At 40.5% G+C, this 20,906-nt stretch overlaps 2 long non-coding RNA genes across 6 annotated transcripts in view, besides 1 other annotated feature; both read left to right on the plus strand.

The window, feature by feature from the left end:
• NEPRO-AS1 (NEPRO antisense RNA 1) overlaps nucleotides 1-20,906 on the plus strand; it is a 164,860-nt gene that overhangs the window by 100,321 nt on the left and 43,633 nt on the right. The gene's annotated exons all lie outside the window — the stretch shown is intronic.
• On the plus strand, nucleotides 3,072-7,628 carry LOC124906268 (uncharacterized). Its single transcript, XR_007096005.1, has 3 exons — nucleotides 3,072-3,563; nucleotides 4,459-4,686; nucleotides 5,562-7,628. It is a non-coding gene; the product is annotated as an uncharacterized LOC124906268 (long non-coding RNA).
• Nucleotides 4,232-4,733: an enhancer, noted in NCBI's record as "H3K4me1 hESC enhancer chr3:112842917-112843418 (GRCh37/hg19 assembly coordinates)". NCBI's record gives its function as "activates a minimal SCP1, AML or CMV promoter by ChIP-STARR-seq in primed H9 embryonic stem cells {active_cell/tissue: H9 hESC(primed)}" and the evidence as "EXISTENCE:reporter gene assay evidence [ECO:0000049][PMID:30033119]".

Here is a 20,906-nt window from a genome sequence, read left to right on the forward strand (position 1 = left end):
TATGTGGAGATATGCAACGATGAAGAAAAATGAAATATTGAGAGAAACAAGAAACTTAGATTGGATGAGGTGGATCAGCTATAGTGGAAAACCTTATCTTCAGTGTGAGAAGCAGTGGGGGGAAAAAAGTCTGAAGGATGAAAACTTGTTAATGAGCTAGGTGGGTTCCAGGGAAGGAACATGGCACCTTGGAGCTGAAGAATGGGCAAAAAGTTCGGCTAGAAAAGGTTGAGAACCAGCATGTTTACCTGCCTATTGCATTTGTAAAGAACTAGTCAATGATAGCATCAAGTGAATTTTTCTGACACGACCATCTGATTTTTATTCACCTGGGTATATAATTAATTGCACTTTGAACCAAGTGACTAAATTCATGTTGCACCAAAGCCCCCAAGCAGAAATGAGAAATACATTACAACAGCTGCTACTTAGCGCATGCTTCCCTGAAGAGCCAGGCACTGCGCTAAGCCATTTTACGTTCATTCCCTCCTTCAATTCTCACAATGCTATGAGGTATGTATTGTTTTCCCCATTCTATAGGTGAGGAAACTGAGGCTCAGAGAGGTTAAATGATTGCCCAAGGTCACATAGGTAGTGAGTGGCAGAGCTGGAATTCACTTCAAAGTCTGATTGGCTGCAAGAACCATGTTCTTAACCACTGCCATATGCTTATCTCCTGCTGGTGAACAAGAAATGTCAGTCATTGGTTTTATATGCGAAATCCCTAATCTCTCAAATATTGGAAATGGAAGGCTACCACAGTGGAATGTTTGTGGGAAAGATCTTGAGCCCCTTCACCACAGTCCCTCTCTGAGCTGTGTCCTAGCCCTAGGCTGACATCCACCAGATACCACCAGCCCAGGGCCAGGACCCCACAATCCTTTTAAGGGCCCATAAACATGTTTTAACTTATCATAAAATCAAAAGAAAAAATGATGAATATAATTTATACCAATGGAGTTATAAAAGATAATTTTTAATACTTTTTTATGGTGAAAGGTGTGCACAAGGGCAAAAGTACCTAAGGCCCATGAAATGCAGCCCTGCCTGTTTTCTCAAATAATCCAGAAAGTGTGTGGTGTGTAACTGTTATCCTTGCATAGCATAGGCTCCTCTATCATTCATTTGGGGGGTTATATCATCCTAGAAACCCTTCAGTGGAAAACACACGCTTCTCTTGGCAGGCTGTTCTTTTTGGCTAACATAAAAGTTGATACAAATATGTCCAAATACTCAAATATACAAATGTGGACAGATATTTATGCCTCAAGACACACAAGCTAAACCCCAGAATAGTATACCCCTGATTGTCCACGGGCATAAATTCACAAGCACCAGGGGTCAGCCCTAGGAACTTCAGTGCAAATATACTGGCCAACATGTATGCACGCACACACACACACACACACACACACACACACACACACACACACCATTTCCCCCAACAATAAACAAACAGACAATGAGCCAAGAAGATCAAATTACCATCCCATGAACAGTTAAAAAGAGAAAAATCTCAGATTTGGAGCCTAATCTGCAGTAGGTAAATAAAGGGGTAAGAGTGAGTTGGAAAAGGGAGAATGCTTTGCAAATTGAACCGATGTACTTTTTTTTTTCAAAGTCCAAGACCAGTTCTCCTTAATGATGGTTCCCAGAGATTCTCCAATTAGGCGTCCCCTGGTCTTTGAGGAGTCCAGATCTGCACAACTTGGCAATAGCATCAGATTTGATCTTTTACGGCCCAGAGGCTTGAACTGGGAGTTGAGAGGAGGGGAGAAGGGGAGTGGGTAAAAGTTTTGTGAGGGCTGCATGGTTAAAAACAAGTTCAAAAACAGCTGAAAAGACAGGGAAGAAACGATCTCATTAACTGGACCCCTTTCACCTCTTTCCTTTCCCATTCCACCCACAATTCTCTTCCTTCCACAAAATGTACCCAGGCAAAACAGATGAAAGGAAAGAATTATCCACCCTATTCTCCAAAGCCAAGGGTTTTTATTTTGTTTTTGTTTTTGTTAATTGGGGGTAAAAATGTGAGGCAACCTCTGGGCAAAACTACTTTTGAGTCCTGCCTGTTTGGAATCAAATCCCAAACCTATGCTGATAGGAAGATATATACTTACCTCAGTATGGTTTCTGTCATAGTTATTTGACTAGAATATTGAGAGATTTGCATGTTTTGGGCCAGAAAGATATAATACTATCTTTTGAAATAATAACCACAATAAGCGATCATTGTGCCAGGCACTACGCTAAGTACATTATCCGCAATAATGCCATTTAATCCTCACAGCTTCATAAAGTAGGTGCTGTTATTGCAGAAACAGGATTTTATAGAAAAGGAAACTGAAGCTTGGAGATGTTAAATAATTTACCCAAGTTATCACAGCTATTAAGTAGCTCAGATGCAATGTCACTCAGATGTGTTGTTGTATAATTTACATTGTGGGTTTGTTCTATTATTCATCATTTAATTTTTTTCCAAGCTGTAACTACTAGAAATAATATATTTTTAAAATTGTACTTTAAAAAAATTTTATTTTTAATTTTTGTGGGTATATAGTAGGTGTATATAAATATACACTGAGACACTTGATACAGGCACGCAATGGGTAATATTCACATCACGGTAAATGGAGTATCCATCCCCTCAAGCATTTATTCTTTGTGTTACAAACAATCCAATCATACACTTTTTGTTTTTTAAAAATGTGACAGTGTACTTTTTGTGCAAAAAGCTTTTATCTTATTTTTGATTATTTTCTTAGAATAAACTCATAATAGTAAGATGTCTAGATCAAAGGGCTTAAATATTTTTTGGTTCTCACGGTATGGTGCCAAATTGCACTTTCAAGGGCCTTTGCCAATTTACGCTGGGAATATCAACGTAAGAGTGACATATTTGTGTTATATCCTTTCAAATACTGTCATTTGAAGATGAGATTTTTCCACTCTCTGGTCACCATTCCACATTCAAAGGCAAGGGTTCTCAGGAATTCTGTTTCAGTGGCCAGGGGTATTCCAAGGCTATGAAGAAGCTGGATTATAATGGCCTATGCAAAGGTCCCATCTCCCATCTGTTAGCGAATCCCTTTAATTCTACCATTAGGTACTCTTCCTTTTGGCTTAAGGCTTAGAGTGTTTCTAAAATGCCCTCTGGAAGGTGTTACTTTAAAATGGCTGTTGCTATTTATGGTCTCTTGTGAAGATGCAGGGACTACTAGGTTGTTTTGAGAAGAAAGGGAAGCCAGTGATTGGAGTTCTGGGTGGGAAGGGGGAAGGAAAGGGAGTCAGGGAGGGTTCAGAGCTAAGAGCAGGTCCTTTCCCTGTCCATTTAGCCAATGTTTTTATTTTTCCTATTTTTCCTTTTCGGTGCCAGTGCATGGGAAAGTAGATTTCATTTATTCATTCACTCATTCCTTTTTTTTTTTTTTTTTTTTAATAAAAAGGGCTTCCCTCTGTTTCTTGGGCTACAGTGCAGTGCTTCAATCATGGGTCAATGCAGTCCTGAACTCCTGGGCTCAAGCAATCCTTCCACTTCAGTCCCAAGTAGCTAATACTACTAGGTATGTACTACCATGCCTGACTGATTTATTATCATCATCATTATTATTATTATTATTGTAGAGATAGGGATCTTGCTATGTTGTTCAGGCTGGTCTTGAACTTCTGGCTTCAAGCAATCCTCCTGCTTCAGCCTCCCAATATGCTGGGATGTGAGCCACAATGCCTGGCCTCCATGCTTTTTTGAGTGCTTACTCTGATGTAGACTCCAATTACAGGCATTGGAGAGGGACACATCAGTGAACAAAACAAAACCTCTATCCTAATGAGGCCTATATTTTAGTGAGGGCAGACAGACAAATAAGTATATATAATGTCAGGAAGTGATGAATGCTATAAAATGTTGTCTCTGAAGAAGAAAATTGTCATAAGCCATGGTCTCTTCCTATGCTGGAGACAGGCAATCCACAGACTTAAGGGTTTGGGGACATATGTGTGAAACTGGAGGATATGGCAGGAAAATAAAAATTATAGGCAAAGCAATTATTAGCAAACAAGACAGTTTTCCGACTCTTGTTAGAAAGTACTACAGATTCCCTTCACTTCCCATATGAAAAATCTATGATTTTAGTCAGCAGGTCCTTCACTTTGCTGTAAAAATGTAAAAGATGCATCTAGATACAGTGTTATTGTTCTGTATGTAGATACAATGTTACTGTTCTACAGCAAGGGCAAAAAAATTCTTGCAGGCTTCCCACTGAGAAGGGCCTGTGCTGGAACAAGTAAAGTAGAAAGCCCTGGGGAAGTCTAGACTTGCCCCAACCCTCTGAGAGACTTGGGCCAGGCCCTTCACTGCTCTGCCCTATACCTCTTGAAGCCTAATTAAGTAAAATGAGGAGTATAGAAAGGAAGGTCTCTGTGGTCCCATCCAACCTGAGCCATCTTTTTCTACCCTAGCTTACATTTCTGCCTGGGAGACTTACAAGCGCACAACAGGATTAATCCATCAGCTCTGCTGGGCTGGGAGAGGGAGGGAGCCAGGCGGAGGAAGTATCAATGATACCGCACTCCAGTGAGCACTGAAGAGGCTCCATTCATGGACCAACAAAACCTGGAAGAAGCCTCAGACTTAATCAGCCAAGGAGGCTCCAGCAGCAGGAACAAAAGAAATCAAAGCTTCACTGGGTAATGCAGGCACAGCTTCTGTGTTCCTCCTGAGACCTGAACCCACTGGGTCCCCAGCAGACAAGAAGTGGTGGGCGTGGGGGCGTGGGCGCGTGGGCGCGTGAGCGCGCACTCGCGCACACCCACACCCACACACACACACAGACACACACACACATACTGAGGGCTTACTGGTTTCCAGAAGAAAGGAGAGAACAAAGATGTGCAGACAAGGCACCTGCAGAATGAGACTATGGCTGATATCATTAAACAAGAGCTTCATTTAAACTTAGACCATACTCTAGGAATGCTTACACAGTAGTTTAATTTTTTTCAGTTAAGATTCATGTTACACTTAATAAGTGAGGGATGCTTTAATGAGATTCAAAATGAAACTCTTGCATGCACTTCTGCATAAAACCTTTCAGGGTCCTAGAGTTACTTGTTTCTTAACATATAGCAGTTGCAATACTTTGTATCATGCCCTTCCACAGAACATCTAGCTAGGCATATTTCTTTTTGTTCTACATCTAGCTAGGCATGCTTCTTTTTGTTCTATGTTCAGACAGTCTTCTAGTGAAGTAGGTTGAGATTATGCATCATGCCTAAGTGGGATGCTTAATCTCATTTAATAAGTGGGAAAACTGAGGTTGCGTTTCTTATGGCTGCTTATTACGCCTATGTGTGCCACCATAATCACCTGGGCCAACTTCGTCAATAGGGTGATCATTGTCCCTGAACTGATGGTGGTGGGAATGAGCATATCGTCATCACCCTTCCTTAGGAAGTGCCAGAAGGAAGACAGGCGATAAGATGCCACATAAAACTCAGTAACCTTACTGGAAAGAGTGCCTTCTCTGTGCTAGTCTAAATGCCACACTCTGTGTCTTTTTCAGGTGCTGAAAGTATCTGGAAGATTCCATTATTATCAGGATGACTCACAAAATTTAATAATTACTTGTTTTTGCTTTGTTTTGTGTGCCCATGTTTTACATGATGTGACCTTCTGCTGCCCTGTACTATCATAAATTGCATCTTTCTGAAGGCAGTTCTGAGTAAGTTTGTGTCCATGAGTATGTGCTAGCATTTCAGCTCATGGGCATTGCCTTAAAGAAGTAACTGGGGCTGTCAGCAATCTGTTGTGAGGTCTTCAACCAGCTCATTTATTAAATAGCTTTAGGACAAATATTCTTGGCTGAAAAATCTGGTATAAAAATGAAAAGGAGAGTCCTGCAAACAAAGAATACAGTTCACTGTGTTCAGTTATTTTTCCCTAAAAAAAATGCGTAAGAGATGTAGAGTTAAAAAATATTTTTGAGTTGTTATGACCAGTTGATGACAGACGTGGTTTTTACTTTTAAAATATGGTATCTGTGACTACAACTGATTGTGGGCAAAACCACAGAGATGCTTCTTTTGCTTGAATTCAGCTATTTTCCTTTTCTGTGTTCTTCTCCCAACTTCTGATTTGTTCTTACCCATGAATTAGGTGGCTCTTGAGTTGCTCTTGATCTTACCCCTATTCTTTGCTGTTGTCCCTAAGCAATGCTCTTTATCTGGGGCCAAACCCACTTCTTCTCCCCACTCAATACTTTCCAGCCAAGGGTCCTGACTTTCCGGTCCAGGTGCAAGTTCCTGACGCTGGATAATTCCAGGCATCATTTCCACAACATAGAGCTTTTGGGACAGAAAAGCCTTTACACAGCACTCATCTCAGATTCCCCATGGAGGGTCTGCCTATGCATTGAGTCTGGCCCCTTCAGACCCCTTTTTCTTGTCATCACAGAGGGAGCCCGAGCTCTTGGCCAGGCTTGTGAGCAGAGCAAAGACAGTTGCTATCGCTATAGAACCATTTAAAGCTTGTGTGTGTGTGTGTGTGTGTGTGTGTGTGTGTGTGTGTGTGTGTGTGTGTGGAAAGACCTTCTGCTAGGCCTTATTACATCCTACTGGTTCTCCTCTCACTTCTGTGGTGTGAATGTTAATTATCTAGGAGCAGACCACTCCATCATTACAGATCTCACCTTCCCACTCTAGTCTGTTTCCCAGTGAAAACATAGCTTCTGCAGCCCTCAGCCCCTAGAGTTGACCCCTCCATCTTTACAGGCACTTCCTGCTTTTGGTGGCAACTTTCATCTCAAGGAATTAGAGGTGTTTTGTGCAGCCAGCACACAGTGGAGACAGGGCACATTCGCAGAGCTGAACAGACTGCCAAGAAAGACAGTGCCCTTCTGCTGTAAAATTCCAGTAGAAGTCCTGTGGCTGGGATCGTGACACACACGGGAGTCTAAGGCTCACAACGGGCTAGCATAGTCTACCTTGTAAGCCTTACAAATATTGAAATATGGCTTTGCAGGGGGTAGTTTATATAAGATGAGGTAAGTTAGCCATGGGACTTTCCCCATAGTCAAAAAGTTTGAGAGCATTGAAGAAAAGTATAGCCTTGGTTGGAAGCCAAGGAATGGCCATCATCTTTGAAGAGTATCTTCTTTTGCACCTGAAAATGGGCAGCTCAGCCTATGACACAGAAGGATGCAGAGAAGGCCCACTGATGGCCTTGGCCTCAGAGACTCATCACTGTCCTTTCAGACTCCAGATCCTGACTCTCTTGACATCATTAGAGTAGCATCCTCCATGCCCCAGGTGCTGACACAGCCTCCAAGCCACACACACACACACACACACACACACACACACACACACCAGTTTGTTAATTTACCCAGAAAAATACAACTAATAAGAGTACTGGTTATTCACTCTGGCCAAATCAGCACACTGGCTCAGAATGCAGGCAGTGAGTTAAGCTTCAGAAGTGTCTCTCCATTGAGATGCTTTAGGCTCTCTCAGCAAGTCAAGGACAAGAAGACTCTGTCCAGAGCTGTTATAGTGCCTTAGTGGGTCTACCAACATTTGCCTCTGCAACACCCCACCTTTTTCTTTATTTTATTTTATTTATTTTTTTTTTTTTGAGACGGAGTGTCACCCTGTCACCCAGGCTGGAGTGCAGTGGCGCGATCTCGGCTCACTGCAAGTTCCGCCTCCCGGGTTCACACCATTCTCCTGCCTCAGCCTCCCCAGCAGCTGGGACTACAGGTGCGAGCCACCACGCCCGGCTAACCTTTTTTTTTTTGTATTTTTAGTAGAGACGGGGTTTCACCGTGTTAGCCAGGATGGTCTCGATCTCCTGACCTCTTGATCCGCCTGCCTTGGCCTCCCAAAGTGCTGGGATTACAGGCGTGAGCCACCGCACCAGGCCCCTTTTTTCTTTATTCTTATAACTGATCATTTCTTTGTACCCACCCCACACCCCAGACATTTTGTTCTAAAGCATTCTTCAAGCAGAATGCGTACAATTGGTTGGGTTCTAAGTACTGCCCTTGCTGGTTCCCTGAGATTTCTCTTAAGTTCACCTTGATTGGTTTCTTAGGCATCCTTAAGTTCTTGGCTCACACATTTATAAATGATTTTTTTACTTTACTTCCAAAGATGACTAATTACATCAATTGTGTGTGGATTTTAGTGGTTTAACTCTTATTTAAACTGTATTTACAAGTCTTAGAACTTATCTTACTGTGGCCTTTATGCCCTTCAATGTCTTCTTAACTAATCTGTTGATAGAAGCAAACCTTCCAATGTCCCAGCCCCTGAATGGCAGAGACAGACGCTGAACTATGCATTCCAGCTATTATCCTTCCTCCGAACTGAACATTAGCCTTCACTCCTTCTATGAAGCCAGCTTTAAACATTCTTCCCACACTGCACATGGGGAGCTGTGGGGATAGTTAGCTGAACTTTCCCAACACCAACTTGTTGAAAGCAGAGGAATCAAATAAATGATGAAAGCAGCAGCAAATGAGCTTTTGTGCAAACTGAAAAGTGAGCAACCCACGCCCTCAGTTAGGGCTGGCAGCAGAAGTTTAATGGCCCCCCTTTCAGGGTCACTTAGTTAGTTGTAGTTTACAGGATGGTCCCAACTCCTGAGGTATCACTTGCTCCTCAAACATCTACTCGTAGCCCCCACCATGCTAGGCATGAAGTGTAGGGTAGGATGACTAAGAGATGAATAAGACATCATGCTTGCACTCCAGGAAGTCACAGTCTATGACGGTAGGACACTGGCTTGCTGGCAAGTGATTCCTGAAAGAAATGATGGAATAATGACTGACAAGAAGAAGGGAATTACCTGAAGAGGCGTTCAACCTTGCAGGACTTCATGCAAGCACAAGGCTGTTTCTTTGCTCTAAGAGCACTCATTCCTCCTTTTCCTTCTCCCTGTCTCTTTTCTCCTGGCCTGTGGGGTCTGGCGGCTTGTCTATGTGACGGCTGCAGCTGCTGCTCTGCAGAATGAGTCACCTCCACCGATCCCCCTACATGAGCAGCTCCGCACTCCATGAAGGGATCATGGATCTTCAGATTAAGCATAAATTTGAGCTAAAGTATTTATTTATTTATTTTTAAATCAGAGCGAAAACTCTTATTTGAATATGAATGTGCTTCCCCACTTCACTTTGAAGCGTAAGGATTGTGTTAATTTCTGATGGAGAAAAGGGCACAGGGAGGCCCCCTTTAAAAAACGGCATGTGCCCAGTATCCTGAGACCCCAGGGCCAGCAACCTTGAACCAATAAGTGACAAAAGGCAAAGGAATTAAGCTAGCCACATTTAAAAAGCTAACTAGGAAAGTTGGATTCATTTTGGCTAAATTAAATCCCAAAACCATGTAAAATGTTCCAAGAACGTGTATTCCTAAAGATTTTATTGTTTATAAAATGTTAGTCCAACGTTGATATTATGAAATCAGCAATATTTAATAAATGTCCGTCACCTTATTCAGCACTGGAAATACTGAGCAAGACACAGTCACAGCCCTTGTGGTTCCTTGATGTTTCATCACAGTAAAAGACACAGCTTCCAAAAGGTTCTGCCAGAAGTGAAAGTTAGTCTCTGTTTCTGTCTCTGTCTCTCCCAACCTCTACCTTCCCTTTTGTCTTTCTCTCCTCCCCTACACCGATGATAGTCATGGACACAGTACATTGGCAACTAGCACACTGATGTCCAGGCGCTGCTTGTATGGTCCACAATGTGCTACATGATTGTATCAGTCAAGACAGACTAGGTTATGTTGCAGTAACAAACAACTCTAAAATCTGAGTGGCTTAAATAATAAAGGTTTCTTTCTTTTTTTTTTTTAGATGGAGTTTCACTCTTTGTTGCCCAGGGTGGAGTGCAATGGCATGATCTCTGCTCACGGCAACCTCCACCTCCTGGATTCAAGTGATTCTCCTGCCTCAGCCTCCCGAGTAGCTGGGATTACAGGCATGCGCCACCACGCCCGGCTATTTTTGTATTTTTAATGGAGACGGGGTTTCTCCATGTTGGTCAGGCTGGTCTCGAACTCCCGACCTCAGGTGATCCGCCCACCTCAACCTCCCAAAGTGTTGGGATTACAGGTGGGATTACACCACGCCCAGCCGGTTTCTTTTTTACTGAAGCTACGTATTCATTACATTTAAGCAGGAAACTTTGCTTATTGTAGTCACCTGGAGTCCCAGGCTGATGGAGCAGCCACCATCTTGAATGCTGCTGGCTATTGTACCAAAGACAAAAGAAAGCTCTAAAAAGTCACAAATAGGCTCCAGGCTCCAGCCTGGAAGTGTCTGTTGCATGTCACTTCCACACAAAATTCAAACGTCATAACTAGTTATAAGATTCCACTCAACCATAGGAATTCAAGAATTTCAGTCTTCCCTATGCCCAGAAGTAAGGAAAATGAACAATTTTGCAAAGAGCACTAGCAACCACTACAATAGTGTATAGCAGATTTGACATGCTGACCTAAGCCTAAAGTGCTGTGCCACTGGGTGATCTCAGCCTTATCATAGTGAATCTTGCCTCTCCAGCCTCAACGGAAAGTAGAAAAAGCACAGTACTGGATAGCTTTCCAGCATAATCTGATCCCAGGGTGATCCTTCATGCTACTCTAAAGCCACATAGATAAACACAAAACATGATGAGGAGGGTGGGAAGCTAGTGTAATAAGATGATTAAATGCAGAGACTTAAAAACCAGACAGATTTGGGCTTGCATTCTGGTTCCACCATTCACTATTCATGTGAACTTTGCCAAGTTTCTTAACTTTTCTATGTCTCGGTTTTTCTCATTTACAAAATGAGACTAATAAAGCTTACTTCATAAATTTATTGTTGGGATGCACTAAGGTAAAGCATGCAAAGCCCTTAGCCCAGTACCTGGTAACTTACAAGTACTCAGTAAGTCGTAACTGTCATTAGTAGTGTTAGGATTGGAATAATAAGCCAATATTAGCACAATGTCTAAAAGATCATGTGTAACAAACTAAAGAATTTTTTTAATTGTTGCCTTTCCTTGAAATGCTCTAAGTGTTAAGAAAAGGAGTATGGGCTGAGTGCAGTGGCTCACTCTTGTAATCCCAGCACTTTGGGAGGCCAAGTGGGAGGACTGCTTGAGCCCAGGAGTTTGAGCCCAACCTGGACAACTTAGTGAGACCTCATTGCTAGAAAAAATTTTTAAAAAGCCAGATTTGGTGGCATGTGTCTGTAGTCCCCGCTACCTGGGTGGCTGACGTGAGAGGATTGCTTGAATCCAGGAGGCTGAGGTTGCAGTAAGCCATGATCAAGTCATGGCACTTTAGTCTGGGCAACAGAGCCAGACTTTATTTCAAAAAAAAAAAAGAAAAGAAAAGGAGTATGAGAAAGAGATGACCCCAAGTATTATTCACCTGAGACATTGGTATGCTACATCTGGAATATTAATACCTTTCCCAGCATACATCCTTTGGGGACGCTATGTATGAAATTCCTCAAATAGGCATAGTGGTGAGGAAAATAGGCTCTAGTGTCAGACTAAGTTAAAATTCAAACTATCAATATACAGCTCTGTGACCACAGGCAGCCTCCTTTACCTCTTCCTTATCTGTAAAATGGGGATAATAATTACATGGCATGGGGTTGCCATGTTGATTAAATATATTAATGTACATAAAATGCTTAGCCTAGTGCTTGACACGTAATAATGACTCAATGGATGTTAGAATTATTAAACATGAGGAAATCAAGACTCCAAAAACTAAAGTCACTCACCTAAGATCACACAGTTAGTAATTAGAAAAATTTAGACTCTGGTTTTTCCAAATCCAAAGCACATGTGCCTGCATTTTACCACATCATTCCATTATTTACACTTACATAATTGCCCTTAGGACTTCATTAATCTTCTGAAATTTGGGTCAAGCCATTCTCAGGCATAGTTGAAGAAAACAAGAAACCATACAGTGGACTATCACAGTGGCAGGAAATAAATGGAGTCCCTCCATTTTCAAGACTGGCCCAAACAGGCTCCTGAAGTTGCTTACCCTATAAGAAATTAGAGATATTACTTCACAGTTTTTGATTACCCACTATTGAGTGTCTGTGCTTCATCAGGCTCAGTACTAGATGAGTTGTTTGTGTTTTTCCATTTAATTTTCACACAGTTCTTTGATGGAAGTAAGTACTTATTATCCCCATTTTACGGAGGAGGGAAGCTAAGATTCAAAGGGTTAAGTAACTTACTCAAGGTCACATAGGTAGAAAATGGCAAAACCTCTGAAAGATAAATTAGGTTGAAAACAACCTTTCTGTACAATATAATCTTTTTTTTTTAATTTTGATCAGCATCTTCCAGATCTTCAGAGTAATAAATGCTGATTAGAGAAAACGTTGAAAGAAAAGTATAAAGAAGCAGGAAATATTATCTATGATTCCACTGCCCAGTGTCACTCACTGTTAACTTTGGTACAGTTCCTTTGAGTCCTCTCTCCATCTTTCTTTTTCATTGTATAGGTAAGATCACACTATATAATTCTGTAATGCAATTGTATGCAACTCTATAAAGTAGGTATTATATAATCAAATAGAACACTTACGCAACCAGTATTTTCATATACTCTACTTTTTAAGAGAAAGAAGTAAAGGACAACAAAAAGGTGATAGACCTAATTTATTTCAAAAACCCAAACAAAACACTGCCAGGCTGTGGCCTGTGGTTGCTATAAATTCCTTTCTGTTTTCCACCCCTTTTCCATCTACAGCATTAGGATTGATTTCCATTTTCTTGACCACAATGATGATTCACAAGCATCACAGATTAAAGGATGTTTAACGACACTTCCCTCCTTTGGCTTGCACTTGGACAGGCCAGCACTTGAGCAGGCCAGACTATGGGACCACTCAGTGGACATCAGAAACAGGAGACGAACCACATCTCCCTCCTGTGGCCTGGATGGTGTTCCAATTTCCTCTTTTGGTCATTCTTGCTGGCTCTACAGTAGCCCTCTTGTCTCTAGGATCTAAATTTCAGGCCTTCCTTCTCTGCAGCCCTTAGACACTTCTCTGACTAACCATAGACTATGTGGAAAATGGTAGCTGGATTGCCTTTGGGTGGAGTCCTTGCCCTGTGGCATAGGAAACAAAGGAAAGGAGAGAGATGCCCTTTGAGATTAATGAAAATGCTCTCAGCCAAATAAGATCTAAAAATAGCCTCCCTGTGATATGAACGCGTGGCCCCTAAGGGTCCTAAAGAGAGAGCTAGGGGAGGTTCAGCTGGCCACAGAGATGCTAAAGGTCAGGAGCAGACTTTTAGGGTTTGCTGTTTTATAGGTTTAAAGACCAGGTCTGTGTTTTGATAATTGAACTTGCTAATAGCTGGCCACTTGAGTTGCTTCTTCCAGCTCTTTGTTTGTTTTAAATAAAGAGATTCAGCCAGTAATAATGGGAAGAGCTGCAAATGACTTCCCCAGTTGGGAGTGCCTGCTTGTTTTTCCTTCTGCCTGGGCATGCTGATGTGCAGGCCACACTCACAGACTCACACGTCTGAGGAGATAGCCCAAGGGAGCCCTCGGTTTGTATATTTATATAGGATGTGTGTATAAGAATGTGTTCAAGTATCAAAATACATAGGTAACCATGGGTGAAAAGAGGAATTCTGTTGCAAGAATTTAAATATACTGTTTCTCGTACATTTATGTCTTCATTCATTCCTTTAACAGACACTTATTGAGCACCTGCTGTGAGAAGCACTGTGCTATTTGCTGGGAGACATGCTGAGATTTCTAAAAAAGTGGGCCTTTATTTCTCCCCCTTCAGAAGCTTTCCATCCAGTGGGGGCACTATCTGATCATTCATTAAAGCACACATGAGTCACCCACAATGAAAGATATTGTGGGATAAATGCTTTGGGAATGGTACCGAAGACAGGTGCTATAAGAACCCAGAGGAGTATGTGTTCACTTCGGGCTTAAAAGACATCAAAGAAGATCAGTGGAGGAGGGAGTGGTGTGCTAGAAATCATACAGCAAATATCCAGTGGCAAGAAAAGGCACAGCATATTGGGAGTTTCAAGAAGACTGGTTTACCTGGAGAGGATTCTCATGGTAAGGTGAATTGAAATAAAATTGGAAGCTAAGAGTCAGATTGTATAGGGCCTTGAATGCCAAGTTCAGTTGACTTACACACATATAGATGAGGAAGTGGGAGGGAGGTAGCTCCCAAGGTCTCAGAAATCCAGGTGATAGGACTGAAATTATAACATAAAATGGCTCTTTACTTTCAGAATTGTTTCTAGGCCAGTAAGTCATCAATACACCCTAAGAAAATAAATTCATATGGAATTTGCCAAAGTTGTAGAAAGGATACAATCTCTAAATAAAGGGTAGCCCTTTAAGTTGAATCCATTAAGAAAAGTTAAATTATGCTTATTTTTTTCACCATGACCTAGTAAAAATTCTGTCACAACCATTGATACAGCTAAATCCCCTTTATTCCAACTCCAAGCTCCTCAAGGAACCTTGTGAATATCAGATGGAGCTATAGGAGAAGACATAAGAGGCCCCCTTAGTGCATTAGCTGCTACCCTGGTCTTGCACTTTGGTCTCTTGAGAGCCTTGCTAGCATGAATAAGCGTCCTCAAATGGGATCAGCTCTTGGGACACTGGCTAAGTTACATTTCTTTTTTCTTTTTTTTTTTTTTAAGAGACAGGGAGTCACTATGTTGCCCAGGCTGGTCTCAAACTCCTGGGCTCTAGCAATATTCCCATCTCATCCTCCCAAAATTCTGGGATTACAGACATGAGCCACCATGCCTGGCTCAACCAAGTCACATTTTTGAATCTTCAAGTTAAAGACTAAAAACCCTGGACTTGCCTTTGTGAATCCACCAAATGGCTCTTTCCAGACTCTGATTGGGGCAGCTTACCAGCTTTCCCTCTGGGCCTCCTTAAAAAGCACCCAATCATTCAAAATACACACAGTTCTGGGTGATGGAAAAGTTTAATTAATAGACTTATGTGGCTTGCATATGTAAATCACCAAGAAGTAAATATAATTAAAAACTTTACAATAAAAAACTTTAAATATTCATACATTTTTTGATGATTCAAGAACTACATTACCAAAAGACATAACCAGAATATATCAGAACTCTCAAAACGCAACAGAAAACAAATAAACCAATGTAAAAAAATGGGTAATTAAACAGGCACTTAACATAAAAGGATAGCTAGATGATAGTAAGTACACAAAAAGTTTTCAACAATTATTCATTATTAGGGAAATGTCCGTTAAAACTACAATGTGTTACCATTATATATAAAATTAAAAATACTGACAATACCAAGTGCTGACAAGGATGCGGAGCAACTGGAAATCTCATGCATTGCACATGTGAATGCAAAGTAGTAAAGCGACTCTGGACAATGGCTTGGCAATTCCTTAAAACGTTAAACATACACAATGACCCAATAATCCCATCCCTCAGGTTTTTACTGTAGAGAAATGAAAGCTTATGCTCACACAAAAACCTGTACATGCATGTTTATAGCAGCTCTAGTCAGAATCACCAAAAACTTGAAACCAACCACCCAACTATTCTTAAATAAGTAAATGGGTAACAAAACCACATCAGAATCTTACAGTATTTTGGGGGAACATAATGACCAATTAGCATCATGAAGTGGTACCATAGAAGGAAAATGGTCATATTTTTTCCTTCTGCTTATTAAAATTCCAGATAAAGTGAGGGTTCCAGATAAAGTAGGCTCCTTATGTTTATAAGAAAATGTGTAAACATTAGCCACACTGTGAGTTATGAGTGTTTGTGTTGCAGCTAAATGCACAAGTATTGAGCATGGAATGCAGGTTTTGAAAGAGCAGAAGAATAAAGCATATGAGTGGGAGAAGGAAGAGAAAGGCTGCATGCAGAATAAATAAAAGCATCTCTGTTCATCAGTGTTGACTTCAACCTCAGAACCAAAATGAAGCAACTGTATGCATGAGTATATATATGTGTGTGGTCCATGTTCATTTGGAGGGTCAAAAGCCTTTGATTAAAATTTTTTAAATTAAGACTCAGAATCATTCAGTGTTTTTAAAAACTGATCTCCTTAAGGAGAAGAATCCTATGTTTTGATGGACATGAGAATAGACAAACTTAAAGAATTGGGAGAGCAGGAGGCCCTGCCAGAGGAAGGCCTGTCTAAATCCACATACCAGTGCAAGCTGTCTTCGGCTGTCCTACGTACTAAGGGACATAGCTCAGCACAGCCAGTCCCTGTGATGCATCAGCCACTGCATCCGTAAACCAGTGACCACTTCTGAAGCAGCAGAAGTTATTTTGCTGCAAATCTATCTCCAAGATCCAAAATGTGTTTAATCGGGGTGAGCCATTAACTGAATTAAATGAGACATATGTTTACCAGCAGGTGGCAACAGAGGTAATGGTGTCTCCCAAAACGTTAAACTTGCATTATTTTATACGCCAGAAATGGGAATCTTCAAAACTTGATTGGGTCCCAACTTAACTTCACTCTATCTTACATTTGCATTCTGAGATGAAATTATTCAAGCCAAGATATTGTAACCAGAAACATAAATTTTTCTTTTATTAAGCTGATATTGTGCTTCATTTTCTAAGGGTGGCTCCTCCAGGAGTTTGATATTTTTAATTGAAAAATTGGAAAAATAAAACATTATTTATAGCCTCATGAGTTAGACTTATTTGTGGTCAAGGGAGGCTTTTAAAAGGTGAAATAAACACTATTTTCAAATACAGCTGCCTGACATTTAATAGTGGAACGCATATTCTCTTGTGAACAAAGACGAAGCAATTCGACCACTTTTGAATGTCAAAGACATACTAGGTTCCTAACTGACTCTCTTAAACCTTTGTTAATTCTTTTCACATATGAGAAAACCCTTAGGTTTCAATGGAAAAAATAAACATTTTATTCTCACATGATTTCAAAGACTATTGTAACAGGATAGTTTGCTCTAAAGCTCGTGTCCCAGATGGAAGGCATTGTTGCAAGAACATTTTACCCGACTGTCCTGATCCTAGAACTTGTAGAATGCCTGTACTTCTTTCTGTTTCACCAAACTTCCCTGATTGTCTGGCTCCTCTCTTTCGGCATAGGTTCCTGGGCTCCCGTCTAACTCTTAGTCTCATTTCCCATGGTCCCTCTCTTTTCCTGTGGTTTATCACTCCTTTCATTTCCCACAATCTCTCTCTCATAACTGGACTTGGAATACATAATTTAGAAAAATATATACGTAGAAAATAAAAATGTTATTTAGAAAAATAAAACTATTTCTTGCTATATTTTATGATCTTAAATTTAAAGGCTTGTTCAGTTCCATATTTCTAAAAACTAGAAATAATTTACTTGCCAATTATTTAACTTAATTTTTAAATAAGTATGCACATTCATGTGATTCAAAATTTGAAATGTGCAAAAGGGTAGTAAAAAATGTCCCTTCTACTCTTTCTTCTAGCCAGTAGCAACCAATGCTTCAAGTTTCTGATGAATATTTCCAGAGAGATGCATATACCAGCAATTACATATATGTGCAGGGGTGTGTGTATATATATATACATATATATGTGTATATATGTATATATACACACATGCACATATATAAGTGCATATGTGCATATATATGTGTGTGTGTGTGTGTGTGTGTGTGTGTGGATATTCTTTATCTTTCCTGATTCTTACACAAAGGACAAATGATAGCATACGTTACACAAAAGCACCTTGCTTTTTTTTTTTACTTAGCTATTATACATAGCTTGGCAATTATTCCCTATCAATCCAGAGAGAGCTTTCTCTTCCCTTTTTCATAGCCACAGAGTATTGCACTGTACAGATAGTCCATAATTTATTTCAATCTGACCACTACACATACCACTTTGTTTGTTATTAGTTAAATAATTTCTGCTTTTAGTTTCTACTTTCTTTAGGTTTATTATTATCATTCAGTTCTTTTTATTAATTCTTTGAGTCAGATGTTACTTCTTTCATTATCAGTCTTTTTATTATTCTACATATGGAAGACTATGAATTTTCCTCTGAGCACTGCTTTAAATTGCACTCCTTAGGTTCTAGTATATAGTTATTTCTAAATTAGTTTTTGGCACAGAATTGGATTAATCATCATCCTTAATTTATGTTACACTCTCATCATTGGTAAATGCATAGCCATCTTTTGTTTAGTTCTTCCATTTTTTAACATAATTTTTAAAATATGGGCCCATCACCCAATGCGTCTTGACAATAAACTCCATCTACCTATATTGCCCCTCCCATTCCCTCCCTCTGCTTCTGTCCATACTACTCCTCCAACCACCAGAGATAAAGATCATGCTGAATTCTTTTTCATTTCCTTGCTTTCTTTTTCATATAGCTTCATAGCTTCTATCTTCTATCTTTCCTTAAAACATATTTTTATTTTAAATTTAAACATTTTCTTATTTTCTGAATATTAGGTTTGATTTTGATTTTCTTTATGATCCAAGAGTTGCTTTAAAAAGAGTTTTGGGGTTTTTTTCCCAGATATTAGAATATCTTGTTGTTTTATTATTTTGTTTTATTATTAAGATCGGGCTATATTACATCATGAACAGAAAATGCCTTCTGCACTATTTTTACATTTTGGAATTTCTTGGTGTTTTTCTTTGTGTTAAAATGTGATCACTTGGGATATGCCATAGGATGCTCTGTATCCACCTGTCTGTCTCTCCAATTTTGGGGCCAGTGATTGCCCTGTGGCCTCACTTCTCTGACAGATCTAAGAAGAGTTGCTGATTTTGTATTTTGTTTGGCTTTTTAAATTGTATATATTTAAGGTGTACAACATGATATTTTTATATAACTATACACGGTAAAATGCTTACTCCAGCCAAGCAAATTAACCCACCCATCATCTTCCATAGTTACTTCGTGTGTGTGTGTGTGTGTGTGTGTGTGTGTGTGTGTGTGTTAAGAGCACCTAAAATCTACTCTCTTGGCAAATTTTCAGTCTATGATAAGGTTGTATTTACTGTAGTCCTCATGCTGTATGTTAGATCTCTAGACTTACTAATCCTGCATAACTACAAATTTGTACCCTTTGACCTATTTCTCCCCATTTCCTACCCCTCCCATCCCCTGGTAACCATTGTTTTACTCTCTGTGCTTGGTTTCTTACTTATTATTAGAATGGAATGGTGACTTCTAAGTTCCTTATGTGTCAGACTGGAAACCAGGAGTCTTTACGTCAGTATTTAAAAATCAGTTTAGAGGTGATAAACAGTTCATCCTCTCCAAACATCTCTTAGACAAATCAGCATGGCTCTGAGGTGACAGTTAAGAACCAATTGACACAAGGAAGTTATGCAGGTTACCCAAGGCCATACAGCAGGCTAGAAACTGAGCGGGAATTCTATTTAGCACCTGAACTCCCAGCCTTGTGTGCAGACCACATTGTCTGTAAACAAACTAGCTCCAGCTAAACTAGATAAATATGCCTGAAAATAGTTACTTGTGGATGCCAAACTTGGCCTTTTATGCATAGTCAATAAGCAAAAGAATCCAAAAGTAAGTAGGGCCCTTTGCACACACATGATCATGAGAACCTAGCTCTGAGAGACCACGCCCCAAGGAGTGGAGGACCGGCCATCTTCGGTGGTGATCATAGTAATTATCCATTACATTTGGATGGCCTCCCTCAGATTTTGAAACACTTTCATGTGATTTATCTCAGAAGTTCTTGCCAGACATCCTAGGAGGCTGATATTTTTTGTTTTGGTTGGTGCTCCAAGGAGACCAGCAACTCAGCACTGGGAGCCTAACCTGCCCTAATGAGCATAAGGAAATGGGCGCAAACCCTGGTTTTTAGATAAACACAAGAAGTGATCTCTGGGGTCAGATTTAAGTGGGCGAGATAGACAGCATTACCTTGACAAGGGGCAAGGTAGAAACAGAGCACAGGTATGGGAACTGTGCACCTCTTGGTTACCAGTATATAGGAGGATCCAGTCTATGATAATCTAACCCCAAGGAGATACCACGACTTTATTATAATTTTTGCATCCTCTGTGTCTAGCTCAGAATGTGGCATGTAGAAAACATCCAGTAGATGCTTGAAGAATGAATGAATGAAGTATTTTCTGCACACCACCGCCAATGTATTACTCTCTGGGGTGAATAAATGTTTACTAACATCTATCAGGTTAAGGGTTAGATGCTTTCAAGTAGATTTCTTAACCTGGAAAACATCATGGTAAAGATAAAAGAGAGGGCCTGTGTTTTCTCTGTTTCTTACCATACCAAGTCTAGGTGCCTATTCCTGATTTTCAAAATTACCCATGGTTGGGCCCAATGCCTACCTCTATAGCCTTTCACCCCACCCACCACTCTCCTGGCGCTCTTACTGTTCATTCTGGCCTTTTCCACCCGTCCTGGTACACTTTTCTTTGTCTCCCTTTCTATCCCAGTCATTTTATTCCAACCTCTTCTATGGAGCCTTCCTTGACTATCTTGGCCCTCAGTGATCAACCATTCTTTTGAATTTTTTTAATCTGGAGAGTTGATATCCATATATTTTGCCCTCAGTTTTCTCCTATGCTATTGAGTTATTTTAGGTACATGTTATGTTTGACTAGTTGGATTATAAATTCTTTAAGAATACGGCTTGTGGCCAGGCGTGATGGCTCACGCCTGTAATCCCAGCACTTTGGGAGACTGAGGCAGGCAGATCACCTGAGGTCAGGAGTTCCAGACCCACCTGGCCAGCACGGTAAAACCCTGTCTCTACTAAAAGTACAAAAATTAGCCAGACATGGTGGTGGGCGCCTGTAATCCCAGCTACGCAGGAGGCTAAGGCAGGAGAATTGCTTGAACCTGGGATGTGGAGG

The sequence above is a fragment of the Homo sapiens genome, chromosome 3 (genome assembly GCF_000001405.40).
Source record: "Homo sapiens chromosome 3, GRCh38.p14 Primary Assembly".
NCBI classification, from domain to species: domain Eukaryota; kingdom Metazoa; phylum Chordata; class Mammalia; order Primates; family Hominidae; genus Homo; species Homo sapiens.